The 14,600-nt window shown below is 42.1% G+C and overlaps 1 protein-coding gene across 7 annotated transcripts in view, besides 2 other annotated features; it reads left to right on the forward strand.

Moving 5' to 3' along the window:
* The window catches only part of RALY (RALY heterogeneous nuclear ribonucleoprotein), a 90,974-nt gene that overhangs the window by 6,216 nt on the left and 70,158 nt on the right, over positions 1 to 14,600 (forward strand). The gene's annotated exons all lie outside the window — the stretch shown is intronic.
* Positions 10,208 to 10,885: an enhancer, noted in NCBI's record as "OCT4-NANOG hESC enhancer chr20:32598140-32598817 (GRCh37/hg19 assembly coordinates)". NCBI's record gives its function as "activates a minimal SCP1, AML or CMV promoter by ChIP-STARR-seq in naive H9 embryonic stem cells {active_cell/tissue: H9 hESC(naive)}" and the evidence as "EXISTENCE:reporter gene assay evidence [ECO:0000049][PMID:30033119]".
* Positions 10,337 to 10,631: a silencer, noted in NCBI's record as "tiled region #607; HepG2 Repressive non-DNase unmatched - State 25:Art". NCBI's record gives its function as "represses a minimal TATA promoter and a strong SV40 promoter by Sharpr-MPRA in HepG2 cells {active_cell/tissue: HepG2}" and the evidence as "EXISTENCE:reporter gene assay evidence [ECO:0000049][PMID:27701403]".

Genomic DNA, 14,600 nt, shown 5'->3' on the forward strand with positions numbered 1-14,600 from the left:
TAACCTGCTTGTCCTACAACTTCCCCCTGGGTACTGTAAGGAAATTGTGCTCAGGGTGCAGCTCACAGACCCTTAGGAATAGAGACAGAGTGCAGTGGAATAAATAGGAAGTCTTGTCACTAGCCTGAGCATCGTTTGGTCAGTGTGTGGGCTGGACTAAGGTCCTTTCTTTTTATAGCCCTGTTTCCTCATAAAATCATCTGGGGGGGTCCCTGAAATTCTATAAAGGCCCAAAGAGTGGGGGTGGGGAGGTAGGGACAGAAAAAGGGTTGGAGGTCCCTGTCTCTCTCACTTCTCCCCTCTCTTCGAACGAATAAGTAGAAGCAGGTATCTGGCCAAGTATTAATGTTGGTCATCTTTTGTTTCCACAGCCTTGCCTTATTTCCTCAGTGTTAGTGTCTTCTGTCATTTCATAATGGCTTTCATGGTAATCAATGTCCTGTACCTCCTGGGAGGAAGGAAGGAAAGATGGGATATTGTCCCTGGGCTCTAGTCTCCATCTCCAGAAGAGCCATTTAAGACATCCACTGCCCCCTGTTCTCTATTCTGGGGTTGGGGTAGGGGGTTGTGGCTGAATACTTGGGTTTCTTAGAGGGTACATACTTGAGTTTCCTAGGGAGTGCTCTACTAACTAAAGTGCAAATCTGGCTATCTTCCCAACACACCAATGAGTTTGACTGGGGAAAATAGCAGTCAGTGGGCTTTTGTTGCTTGCCAAACCCATGTTAATTGTAATTATCTAATATTCTGTGGGATCTCTGTCTTCCTGTCTGTGAAACAAGGGAATTGGACTAGATAATCTTGAGTGATATTTCTACCTTTTTACAGTTTTGTGGAAGTGGCTTGAGAATTTATCTCTGGAAGGAGAAAGGGCTTTGCTAAAGTATTGAGAGTATCTCAGAGGGTTAAATTCTGGGTTCACAAAAGATACCTTTCAGTATATAAACAGATGGATATTGCTTTTTAGAGTGGACAGATTGCTGAAAAATTGCTTGTGAGATGAATTTATCAAATTGTATGCTGAGTTCCATTATAAACTTGGAGCTGTAGCCTCATGGGACAAACTTGGAGTCCAAGACTATAAAAAAATTACATTAAAATATGTAGCAAACTGTTTAAAATCACATAATAAAGGAAAAATAAAAAACATTTTAAGATTTTCACACAATGGTAATAATGGAAAAACACTAGACCAGAAACTTGCATTTCCTAAGAGCTTTAGCTTATGGAGTAGATGCCTCTACTGAGGTTACCTGGCCCTTGAAGTGCCATCTGTAGAGACTGAATAGCTCTGTTATTTGTCAAGGTAAGACTCATTGCTTTATTCCAAGTAAATATTCTCTTTTAGAATGCCAGGTTTGGAAGCTTAATGTTATTGGCCAGATTTTCTTCATTCCAGAGGCATTTATCTGGTATTTAGCTGTCTCCTGTTTATTTTATTAAGGATTTTAATAAGCTTAGTTAACGGTACTGCTTACATGGTGTCTCTTGATCTATTTGTCTAGTTTCCTTTGAAATTCTTTGTGTTAGTGAAAGCAAGCCCAGCAGTAGATTTAAAAGGGTCATTTCCATAACTTCATTTATCTAGATTTGGGTTTTTTTGGTAAGAGATATGACCACACTATACTGAGAAATCGAATGTTGTTTCCTTTTTTTTTGAGACGGAGTCTCGCTCTGTTGCTCAGGCTGGAGTGCAGTGGCATGATCTCCGCTCACTGCAAGCTCTGCCTCCCGGGTTCATGCCATTCTCCTGCCTCAGCCTCCTGAGTAGCTGGGACTGCAGGTGCCCACCACCACGCCCGGCTAATTTTTTTGTATTTTTAGTAGAGACGGGGTTTCACAGTGTTCGCCAGGATGGTCTCGATCTCCTGACCTGGTGATCTGCCCACCTCGGCCTCTCAAAGTGCTGGGATTACAGGCGTGAGCAGCCGCGCCTGACCACGTCGTTTCCTTTTTACCTGAAGCATTAATTTAAGGCTTTGGAATTTTGTTTTTGCGGATACCTGTAAGGTGGTACTGAGGAATGGTGCTGCTGCCAAAGTAATAATGAGGGCTGTGCGTGAATCAGTTGAGCACAAGAATAACTTCTCTTCAGACTTTAAAGATTCACCCTAATTGATTCTTACACCAATTAAAATCAACCCTTACTAAAATTAGGGTTCAGAGGAAGTTACTTAGTTGCCGTGGCATGATTATTTATGCTTGGGAGTCCCAACAGCCTTCCATCCCTAATCTCAACCATTCGTTCCAGGAATTTGGAGTACCTCCTATATGTTCTTCTTATGGAAAACATAAAAACCAACAAGACATAATTCCTGTCCACAAATTACTTTCAGTCTTGAGAGGAAGACAGATAAGTAAAGCAAATCCAGCCTGCCGCCCTGGCTCATATATTTGGATTGAGGGTTCAAACGGAAAATAACATAATTGGTGGCTGTATCAGTAGACAAGGAGACCAGTTTGATAATCTGACTTCCAGTGTGTAGACTTTATTTTTTTGGCATTCCCTTCTCTCCCTTCTGTTTTTTACAGATATTTATCCTCTGTTGCTAAGGTGTCCAACACCCAGTGTGTAAAGTCAAGAATATTAGAGTAGGGGACAACATTTCCTTTCAGGTTTAGGTGTCCAGATATCTGCATCTGGACACCCACACAGTTCTCTGGCTGGCTTCAGGAAGATTTGGTATTGTCTCGCTTCTTATGTAGAAATGAAGAAAATTAAGTTTCATGTTGAATTATTTTAAGTTTTATTATGCTCTATTTTGAAATAAAATAGCTCTATTTTGTATGCAGGTGGAATTATCTGAGGTGTGGTTTCTGGCATTTGATCAGTCTGTGATTTGATAATTGTGTTTATATTGTAGTTCGTGAAGCCCATTGCCACTGCCAGCCGCCTTTGAACACTTTGCAGCAAGGAGCCCTAGTAAATGGAAATGGTGGGCACATTGAGGCTCTCCTGGTTTTGAAGGGCTCTTCCCTCTTTCCTACCCTTCAGAGAGAAATATTACTTGGGATGCTGTGTTGTGCTCCCGATTTCTTCCAACAATTTAGCATTGCCTGTGGGGTCTGGAATAATAAGGCCATGTAAACTGGAGATGTCATCTTCTCTCTCTTTGAAGTTCCATTTTCTCATCTGTGAAGTGGGGTTAACACTCCATATCTTGCCTTCCTCACAATGGTATTGTGAGGAGCAAATTAGAACGTTGTAAAATCACATGAGACAATTTATATGTGAAGAATCCATCAGTCATTTGTCAGTGGTAATAGGTAAGTGGCAGAATTTTCCTTAAGAGGGGAGATCGATCTCTTTGTAGGGAGCAGGGAGAGTGATCTCAGCTGGTCTCTGGGATTGGGAAAAAGTGTGATGAAAGCATCTGGACAGGGGCAATGATGGAGCAAAAGACTGGAGGTGAACTGTTCAGCGGGAACAGTGAGTAAGTGTTCTCTAACCTCATACTGTAAGTCCTAGGTTAGGCATATGTTTACCTTTGGTAAATATGCCAAACAGTTTTTTTTTTTTTTTTTTTTTTTGAGACGGAGTCTCGCTCTGTCGCCCAGGCTGGAGTGCAGTGGCGGGATCTCGGCTCACTGCAAGCTCCGCCTCCCGGGTTCACGCCATTCTCCTGCCTCAGCCTCCCAAGTAGCTGGGACTACAGGCGCCCGCCACTACGCCTGGCTAATTTTTTGTATTTTTAGTAGAGACAGGGTTTCACCGTTTTAGCCGGGATGGTCTCGATCTCCTGACCTCGTGATCCGCCCGCCTCCGCCTCCCAAAGTGCTGGGATTACAGGCGTGAGCCACCGTGCCCGGCCTCCAAACAGTTTTAAAAGGTCTACCAGGTTACATGGTTAGTGATGAGAAAATTGCTGTTGTTCTGTGTTGTTGTAAATACTTGGCATTGTCTATCTTTTTCATTTGAAGCCATTCTGGTTAGTAGTTATAGATATGAATTTTAAGAACCATACTATGAATTCTCACATAGCAAGTACCATAAAGGGGTACAATGATTGGGAAGTTCAGAAGGGGAAGAGATTGCTTCCTTTGTACATGGAGGAGGGGCAGAGGGGGAGTTCCCAAGGAACATTTGTGGACCAGTGAGTATTTGTGCTGGACTTTGTAGGATAAGGATAATGACCATCTGTTGTCCAGGACCATTTTAATTTCTAATATTCTGTCTGGTTGTACTTACAGATTATGAAATACCAATCAATATTGCCATGTCTGTACCTTATCTCCCATACTATGCAGAAGCAACACCCAGTTATCTTTTCTCAACCGATGTGCTTCCCTTCCCCCCTTTTCCAGAAAGAATGGTCACAGGTGATTAGGCTGCAGAGATGGAGAACATTCTGTGCAATGGGAACAACTTGAGTAGAGGCACAGATGAATGACTAGACCGAGTAGTATCCATATTCCTGCTAATGAGCAGGTGGTGGAAGTGTCCCACACTTTGGAGATGGGTGATACCTTCTCATAGCCTCTCAGAGCAGAACAAGGTCATGTCGTTATGAAGCCAATTTGTATTTAAACTGGATAAAAGGATGAGAATGAGCTCTTTGCTTATACTTACATCATTTCAAGAAAGAAATTAATCCAGTAAACAGTCATACCTGAAGTATATCAAAAGAGAGTTTTTCTTCTTAAAATGGTTGGGGAGGGAATACTAAAACCTAAAGAACTTAGTCTCTCAGAGCTCATCTATTAGTTGTATATTTGCTCAGGGAAAAATTGCCATTTCTTTGTCAGCTTTTATCCTGCCGGTGGACCCTAGCTGGGTGTTTATTTTGTGTAGTTTTACCAAATCACTTTGAAGGTTGGCATGAACATTGATCATGTCTTAGAGCCTTTCCTCTTTGTTCTGTCAGCAAATATTAGAAAATGTACCTTAAATTACCTGGTTGGGGAAAATAGGGTGGCCCTGCCTCCTTCCAGAGAGCAGCATTTTCATGTTAAACATTAGTCAGCTTCTGATCCTGTGTCAGGTCGCGGGGTGTTTGTCAAGATAGACAGGGTGCTAGAGATGCCACTAGGGACATTCACTAGAGAATTTCTAGGCCCCCTCTCGAGGAGACTAGTCGAGTAGTTGATTTAAAAATCTGATGGGCTGGGTGCAGTGGCTCATGGCCTGTAATCCTGACACTTTGGGAGGCTGAGGCAGGCAGATCATGAGGTCAGGAGATCGAGACCATCCTGACGGAGTAGTGAAACCCCGTCTCTACTAAAAATAGCAAAATTAGCTGGGCGTGGTGGCGCGTGCCTGTAATCCCAGCTACTGGGGAGGCTGAAGCAGGAGAATCACTTGAACCAGGGAGTTGGAGGTTGTAATGAGCCAAGATCGTGCCACTGCGCTCCAGCCTGGTGACAGAGTGAGACTCTTTCTCAAAAAAAAAAAAAATCTGACCTGGGTTTTAAATGTTAACACAGCCTTGCATATTAGTGATATTGAGTGTCCACTGTGTTGAGATATCATACTTGGTACCTTTTGTTTATACTAATAGAGCTAATATTTACTGAAGGTTACTATGTGCGAAGCCTTTTATACATATAAAATATTATTTCATTCTCACCTCAACCCTAAGAAGTAGGTTGTATTGATCGTGATCATACAGATTGGAAACTGAGACAAAGGGAGGTTAAGAGATATGCCGTGGGCAACCACTGGTCTTTTTATAGTCTTCACAGATACGTCTTTGCAGAACGTCATACAGTTGGAATCATACAGTATGTAGCCTTTTCAGATTTGCCTCTTTCACTTAGTAATATCCATTTAAGTTTCTTCCATGTCTTTTTATGTTTTGATAGCTCATTTCTGTTTAATGCTGAATAATATTTCATTGTCTGGATGTGCCACAGTTTATCCACCTATTGAAGGTGTCATTGGTTGCTTCCAAATTTTGTCAATTATGAATAAAGATGCTATAAACAAACAAAAGAAAGATATGCCGTGGTCACGCTGCTGATATGATAGATGGAGTTGGCTAGGATTGAAACCTAACCAATTCCTCTTTATTTTTAATATGGAAAATTTCAAACATACACAAAATCGAATAGGTTAATGAAATATGATTTACCCATCACTTGGCTTCAACAGTTAGCAATTCATTGTCAGTCTTGTTTCATTTATACCCCTACCTACTTTTCTTCATTTTGTGCTTTGAAGAAAATCTCAGCTATCATATTTTGTCCTTAAATATTTCACAGTGTGTCTCTAAAAGATGACTTCTAAAAACAATTATAATGCCATTACCATCTTTATAAAGTGTAACAGTTCCTCAGTAAAATCAAAATCCAGATGATCGTGTTCAAATGTTCGATTGTTTTGTAAATGTCACAACCTTATTTTGATAGTTTGATTCAGGATTCATATAAAGTCCACACATGGTTCTTAAGTCTTCAAGTCTCGTTTAATTTGTATGGTCCCTCCTACAGTCACATGCTGCATAGAGATGTTTCAGCCAGTGATGGGCCACAGATATGACAGTGGTCTAATATGATTGTAATACCATTTTTTTTTTACTGTACCCATTGTATATTTAGGTGCACAAATCCTTATCATTATGTTACAGTTGCCTACAGTATTCAACACAGTAACATGCTGTATAGGTTTGTAGCCTAGGAGCAACTATACAGCCTATGCTATATAGTCTAGGTGTGTAGTAGGCTATACCACCCAGGACTGTGTAAGTGCACACTGGTGTTTGCACAGGGATGAAATCGCCTAATGATGCATTTCTCAGAATGTATCCCCGTTGCTAAGTGATGCATGAGTGTAGTTATCCCCCCCATTATTTGTTGAAGAAGCTGGATGTTTTTTTCTATAGATTTTTCCATGTTCTGGATTTTGCTCATTGCATTCCTATGGTGTGTTTTCTGTGTCTCTTTGTCCTCTGTATTTTCTGTAAGTTGTTGGTTAAGGACAATTTCTCTTAACCCTCATGACAACCCTGCAAAAATAGGTATTGTTCTTATTTTGTAGGTAAGAAAACAGACTGAGAGAGGTCGGGTGGCTTGTCCAAGGCCCCGCCTGGATTTGAACACAGGCCTACTTGTCTGCAAAGCTTTTGTTCCTTCATCACTAAACCACTCTGTGAGCTTAGGCAAATCATTTTAAGTTCTCTGGGTCAGCCGGGCACACCTGTAATCCCAGCACTTTGGGAGGCCAAGGCAGGCGGATCACGAGGTCAAGAGATCAAGACCATCCTGGCCAACATGGTGAAAGTCCGTCTCTACTAAAAATACAAAAAATTAGCTGGGCATGGTGGCGGGCGCCTGTAGTCCCAGCTACTCAGGAGGCTGAGGCAGGAGAATCGCTTGAACCTGGGAGGCAGAGGTTGCAGTGAGCCAAGATCATGCCACTGCACTCCAGCCTTGGTGACGGAGCGAGACTCCATCTCAAAAAAAACAAAACAAAAGCCAGGTGCAGTGGCTCACGCCTATAATCCCAGCACTTCGGGAGGCCAAGGAGGGTGGATCACCTGAGGTCAGGAGTTCGAGACCAGCCTGACCAATATGGTGAAACCCCATCTCTACTAAAATACAAAAAATTAGCTGGGCGTGGTGGTGGGCGCCTATAATCTCAGCTACTTGGGAAGCTGAGGCAGGAGAATCACTTGAACCCAGGTGGCAGAGGTTGCAGTGAGCCAAGATCGCACCATTGCACTCCAGCCTGGGCAATAAGAGCGAAACTCCGTCTCAAAAAAAAAAAAAAAAAAAAAGTTCCCTGGGCCTTAGCTTCTTTGTGACCATTTGAGTGCCTACCATGTTATGGTGTGGTACTAGATGGTGTGGATAATACCCATATGAGTAAGACTGTCTTCAAGGAGCATATAGTCAATCAGGGACTGCAAGACCATATGCTATTTCAGACAAGGTCATTGTGGGACTATGGGATCCTTAATCTCCCTTAAGAGTTTCCTGCCTCCCTGTCATCCTGTCTTGCTGTTTTCTGTGCCATGCTATTCACTGTTGCCTGGTACCTTTTCCTACAAACCATTTTTGTTGTATTCTCCCTGCTGTAAGTCTAGTATGGAAGTTTTGGTAAATAAAAGTTCTTCCAGCAATAAACTTTTCTTTGGATTGAGTTACTATTTCAAGGGCAGCTACTCTTTTTTTTCTCTTGTGTTTGGCAAAGGTGTTATTGCTTTTATGGAGATGCTGAAGGAATCTGGGGAACATAGAATAATGATGGAATGAAGCATGGGGAATGCCATCCTGCATCAGGGGAGAACATATATTTAGCGTTGTACTGTTCACTCCCAACGGCATCTGACTGTAATGGGGGTAATTTTGCTCTTTTGCAAAGACAAGGAACTTTTAGTTGTGATGTTCAGGGAGCAGAATTTTAAAGGTATTCCATTTAGGGGAACCAAGCTGCTGAACTTTCATCCTCATTGGGAAGTCCTTGGGGCACTCTTAAATCCTTTCTGTTCCAGATCTGTTCAGTCTTATCCTCTAGATCAGAGGTCACATACTGGTAGCCCCTTGGGCTGTATCTGGCCTGTGTACATATTTTGTTTGGCCTGCAGTAGTGGTGTCATTGTTTTTTAAATTGAGACAGGGTCTTGCTCTGTTACCCAGGCTGGAGTGCAGTGGCACAATCATAGCTCACTGCAGCCTCAAACTCTTAGGCTTAAGCTATCCTCACGCCTCAGTCTCCTGAGTAGCTGGAATGACAGAGACATGCCACTACACCCAAGTGTTTTTTAAATTTTTTTGTAGAGATGAGTTATTACTTTGTTACCCAGGCTGGTCTCACACTCCTGGCTCAAGCAGTTCTGCTACCTTGGCCTCCGAAAGTGTTGGGATTATGTGTGAGCCATTGCACCTAGCCTCTATTTTTATTTTGAGTGGAATAAAAGCCTGGGGAGATTAGGACTGCCTTTCAGTGGAGATAGTATGTATGTGTGAGATGAGAGGTCCTGGCATGGGGCTATGAAGGTGACTGGTTTCTCATGAAAAAGGAGGAAGATTTTTGAGAAAGTAGCAGAGGCTAGAGCCTGACGCTGACCATGAGCAATTTTTCCATTTATAAGAGTGGGGGTAGGCCTGTCTTCTCCTTGAGTCCTCTACCAGGGATTTGTTTTGTTTTGTTTTGGTGTGTGTGTGGTTTTTTTTTGTTTTGTTTTGTTTTTGAGACGGAGTCTCGCTCTGTCACCCAAGCTGGAGTCAGTGGCATGATCTCAGCTCACTGCAACCTCTGCCTCCCGGGTTCAAGTAATTCTCCTGTCTCAGTCTCCCAACTAGCTGGGACTACAGGTGCGCGCCACCATGCCTGGCTAATTTTGTATTTTTAGTAGAGACAGAGTTTCACCAATTTGGCCAGGCTGATCTCGAACTCCTGACCTTGTGATCTGCCCGCTTCAGCCTCCCAAAGTGCCAGGATTATAGGTGTGAGCCACCACGCCCCAGCCTCTACCAGGGTTGTTATATTGTGACTCCTTGTACACTGGCTAGTCCATGCTTTAGAAGCTTGTAAACTGAAGCAAAGAGACATGGCTTGGATCTTTGGGCAACTCTTTGGAGCTTCGGCCAAATTTGGCAGAAGCTTTGAGTTTACAACTTCATGTTCTTCATTTCTCTACTTTTTTCCACATTCTGCTTCCTTATTGACTGGCTTCTTTAGACAGCATATTTGTTCTCAAGTTTGTCAAAGCCACACCATTTCCTGTTGTTTCTTTGATACTCAAGCCCAGTGTCAGTTGCCGTTTATCACCAGAGTATAGCACTTTTTTTGGGAAACACTTGGTCAATTCATTTTTGCTACCTGCTTGCCACCAAGGTCCAGCCCAGCTCTAGAAGGAACTCTAATATTGAAGAGACTTTACCTAGTTAAGGTGCTGGTGAATCCCCTGCGACTAAGTGAATTATCTTCATTTTACTGGGAACTTTTGGTGCCCTTATTGGCTGATAAATCTGTCTCGGCCTATCTTAGGACTTCATATGGACAGCAAACTAGTCAAGGCTCAGTGGATCATGTCCTTGTCAAGTTGGCATTTTTTGCAATCCCTATTATATATTTGTAAGGTAGAGTGGAAGTGAGTCTGATGTGTCATGAAGGAAACCATGGACATTAATTCAGAATCAAAACCGTTTTACTTATGAGTTGGTACCTGGTCTTTTTTTCTTCCAGTGGCACTCTGTTGCCCAAACTGGAATGCAGTGGCGTAATCTCAGCTCACTGCACCCTCTACCTCCCGGGCTCAGGTGGTTCTCCCACCTCAGTCTCCTGAGTAGCTGGGACTACAGGCACGCACCACCATGTCCTGTTGTTTTTATTTTTTTATTTTGTAGGGATAGGGTCTTGCTCTTTTACAAACTAGGCTGGGGTCTTGAACTCCTGGGCTCAAGCCATCCTCCCGCCTTGGCCTCCCAAAGTGCTGGGATTACAGGCCTGAGCCACTGCACCAGGCCTGAAAGTAGGCAAAAGAATCACCCAGAAAGTCACCTGCTGGTTCCCTTTGACTTCTTGTGATTACTGAAACATCATCCAGTATGTGGAGTACTGTGGTAATTTCCATGACAACTGATCCTGATTTTCCAGATAAAGAGAGGAAGCTAGTAAGTGTTAGGAACTCAAAAAGCGTAGTAAGCTAAGTTCTTGTGATGCTAAGTAGAATTTTTAGCTGAAAGGACCTTTCAGCAGCAACTGCCTGATTAAACCTCTTCCTCTTATAGGTCTGGAGAGGTTAAGCAACTTGCCTAAGGGATTGCTGTGTTTGTGGAATAAACTCTGGATCCTCAGCTTAGTATCTCTCTGTGCCTCCTATTCTGCATGACTTTTTTCATTATATCTCGGCTGAACTGTGAGCTCTATGAAGGCGGAAACCATGTCTGTCTTGTTGATGAGTGTTTTCCCAGAGCCTGGCATAGGATCTAAGTATTTTTTGAGTGAATGAATAAACTGGGTGGGGGGGGGGTTCTCAAACTGGAACACATGGCTGCATAGTAGATGATACATGAAATCACAGGATAAAACATACATCTTCCTGAAGTGTCAGTATACTTATTTTTTCAGAGTTGGATTAAATATTATAACTGGTAATTTAAAGTTTGCTTTTAACTTTAAATATTTTTATGGAATGAATGATAAATTAGCATGAATTCTTGAGATAAAGTGAGAAAGCATCAAATAAGTTACAGGATTATAGCAGGCCCTTTGACTTCTACCCCAGGGTGGGTCTGGCATCGCCAGACCTCTGACATTTTTAAGAGCAGCTAGAAATCTAATTTTTTTAAAAGTGAGATCTGATTTTGAATGTTGGCAGTTAACTCAGAGGTTTTTAAGTAAATTTTTACATATCAGACAAAAACATATCCTTGGGCCTAAACATCTGCTTGTGACCTATGAGATAAAATACAGGTCTGAGCAGTAACTAGACTTTGGATGGGGCCAAGATAGGTGGTGGTGTCAGGGATATCTCCTATTCTGAGTCTGGCTCCTTCAGATTTGAAACTAACCATAAGCAGGAGTGGAAAGAATAAAGCTAGAGACTTGATTAGAACAAATTCCCACATTAAACATCCTCTGTAGGAAACAGCTTCTATAACTCACAGGCTACCATATCCCTTCTCGTTGACTCCCCTTGTTTTGCAGATGAAACTAAGGTCCAGAGAAGAAACCAGAGCTTTCTTGTAGGACCCTTAAGAAGCAGCCATGGGGCCAGACACGGTGGTTCATGCCTGTAATCCCAGCACTTTGGGAGGCCAAGGCAGGCAGATCGCTTGAGGTCAGGAGTTCAAGACTAGCCTGGCCAACATGATGAAACCCCATCTCTACCAAAAATATAAAAATTAGCCGGGTGTAGTGGCGCACGCCTGTAGTCCCAGCTACTTGGGAGGCTTAGGCATGAGAATCGTTTGAACCCAGGAGGCGGAGGCTGCAGTAAGCCGAGCTTGCGCCACTGCACTTCAGCCTGGGCGACAGAGTGAGACCCTGTCTCAAAAAAAAAAAAAAAGAAAAAGAAAAGAAGCAGCTATGGGTCCTGGGCAGGCCCCGCTTCAAACTCCTGACCTTTGTTTGGTTTTCCTGCCTCACACACTCTTGGGCCATGGGGCAGTGGCTTCTGCCATAGCCTGAGGTGGTTGGGAGAGCTGGGCTAAGGCTTCTTGGTGCAGCCCTATCATCATGAGGTGGCGGAAGGTTGCCGTGGCAGGTGGTAATGTGCTGAGCCTCTTCTTGGTGCAAAGGGTCTATTTCTGTCACTAGCATCAGATTGACCTTATTTTATTTTTTTTGCCTAGAAAGATGTAGAAGACAGCTCAGCAAAAAGAAGCCTCAGGGCCGAGATAGATCTATCCCTCGTTGTGCCTTGCTTGCCTCTTCTCTTTCTCTTCTTTTTCCTTTCCTCCGCCTCCTTTCTTTTTGAGCCCTACTTACCCTTTCTTCTGCATCCTCCCCCACCCGCCATCCTTTGTTTTTTTCCTCACTGTTGCCCTTCTTGAGAAATTCTTGTAATGCTACTGCAGTGCGCAGAGCTTGGGATTGAACCTGTTTTCTGTGTTTTTAAAGGGGACTTGCAGTAAAAAGTAGGGCATCTAAAATAGGGAGACTAGACATCTTGAAACTGTCCCCTCTTCTTCTCCATTCCCACCCCAAGTCATAAAGGATAAAATCTAAACTCTGGCCTTGGCCGCAAGGCTCATGCAGTCTGGTGCCATATCACTTTGCTGCCTTTTGTCAGCAGCATAGTGCTTAATACCCACTGTTTCCCTGTGTTTCTGCCCAGTAGAAGGTTCCCTGGATGTGCCAGGCTGTATCATGACTTTGTTTTGACTACAGATAGTCCCTGGTTTACAGTTTGACTTACTGATTTTTTGACTTTATGTTGGTTACAAAAGTGATATGCATTCAGTAGAAACGGTACTTGGACTACTCATACAGCTAGTCTGTTTTCACTTTCAGTAAAGTATTCAATAAATTATGTGAGATATTCAACACTGTATTATAAAATAGGCTTTGTGTTAGTTGATTTTGCTCACCTGAAGGCTAGTGTTAATGTTCTGCGCATATTCAAGGTAGGCTAAACTAAACTAGGGTGTTTGGTAAGTTAGGTGTATTAAATGCATTTTCCCAGCCTGGGCAACATAGACTTCATCTCTTTTTTAAAACAAACAAACAAACAAAATAAAAAAAAAAACTAGCTCGCATAATGGGGCATTCCTGTAGTCTCAGCAGCTACTTGGGAGGCTGGGGTGGGAAGATCGCTTGAGCCTAGGAGGTTGAGGCTGTAGTAAGCCTTGATTGTGTTACTATACTCCAGCTTAGGCATCAGAACGAGACCTTGTCTCAAAAAAAAAAAAAAAAAAAAAAAGGCATTTCGACTTACAGTATTTTCAGCTTACAAGGGGCTTATTGGGATGTAACCCTGTTGTAAATTGAGCAGCATCTGTATTTCCCCTAAGTAGAAATCCCCTTATCTTCTTATCCCCTTTACCTGACAGACTCCTGTTTATCTTTCATATCAATTCCAATGCCACTTCCTCAGGGAAGCTTTCCCTGATCACTACAGAAGCAGAATTAATTTTGATCAAATAAAATACAGGATTTATAGCAGGCCCTTTGACTTCTAGGACTGCTGTAGTTGTACTCTAGTGCTGTGTCACACCCAAATCCTCTCTCATTCATTGGATCGAGACAGTATAGGCCAGGGGATAGTGTGCTACTTATCTCTATTTCCCTTGTGTCTCTGAAATAGGCTTGGCACAAATAGTACTTACAAAATGAATGATGGAAATGTGTATGCATTGATACTTATAGTATAGTTTGGTGTTGAGTGCTACAGATGAAATATGACAGTGCGCTTTAAAGAAGAGGCTTAATTTGGGGGTGACTAAAATAAAAAATTATTGACTTGAGGGTCTCTGTTTTGCAAGAATACATAATTAGCTTAAATAAGCAGCAAAAGGTTAGTTTTAATTATGTAGCTTCTGTTAATATTAAGTGTTTTTTGTCTGTTTTACCTCAATTTGAACAGATTAAGTTTGCGTGCATGCTGGACATGCCTCAGAACACATGAGTAGCCCGTACTAGATCTTGGGAACGTGGATCTTAGAGTCACTTTGGAATAAGTTCTTATATAAATACCCCCAGCCTTTTGAGAACGGGGCTTGTTAAAGGACGCGTATGTAGGGCCAGTACCTACTGGCAGTTGGATTCAGGGAAATGGGATTGACTTGGCCTTTGGTCCTTTGGTCATAATTTTAAAATATGGGAGTAGAAAACAACAAAGAATGGAATGGATGCTTAAAACAATGAAAGAGCATTTATCATTTGTCTCTTGAATGTAGAGTTTGTTTTTGATTTCATAATTCTGCGGGTAAACGTGACAGTTAAAGTGGTGGATTATGTATATGTATTATAATTTAGAAATTCCATTTTATAATTTTACTATTCCAAGGTGAAATAATGCATTTAAATTTGGGATTTGGGTGGAGTATTATGTTTAACTGGAGTTGTTGTCAAGTATGAATCCCTCAGGGAAAAAAAATTCTGTTTTAAAAAGCAGTCTGATTCTTAGCTCTTGAAACTATTGTTACTTAAATTTCCAATAATTAAAAATTAAAAATTTTAAAATTAGAATTGCCAATACTTTGACCTTTGA

This window comes from Homo sapiens, chromosome 20 (genome assembly GCF_000001405.40).
Source record: "Homo sapiens chromosome 20, GRCh38.p14 Primary Assembly".
Lineage (NCBI taxonomy): Eukaryota > Metazoa > Chordata > Mammalia > Primates > Hominidae > Homo > Homo sapiens.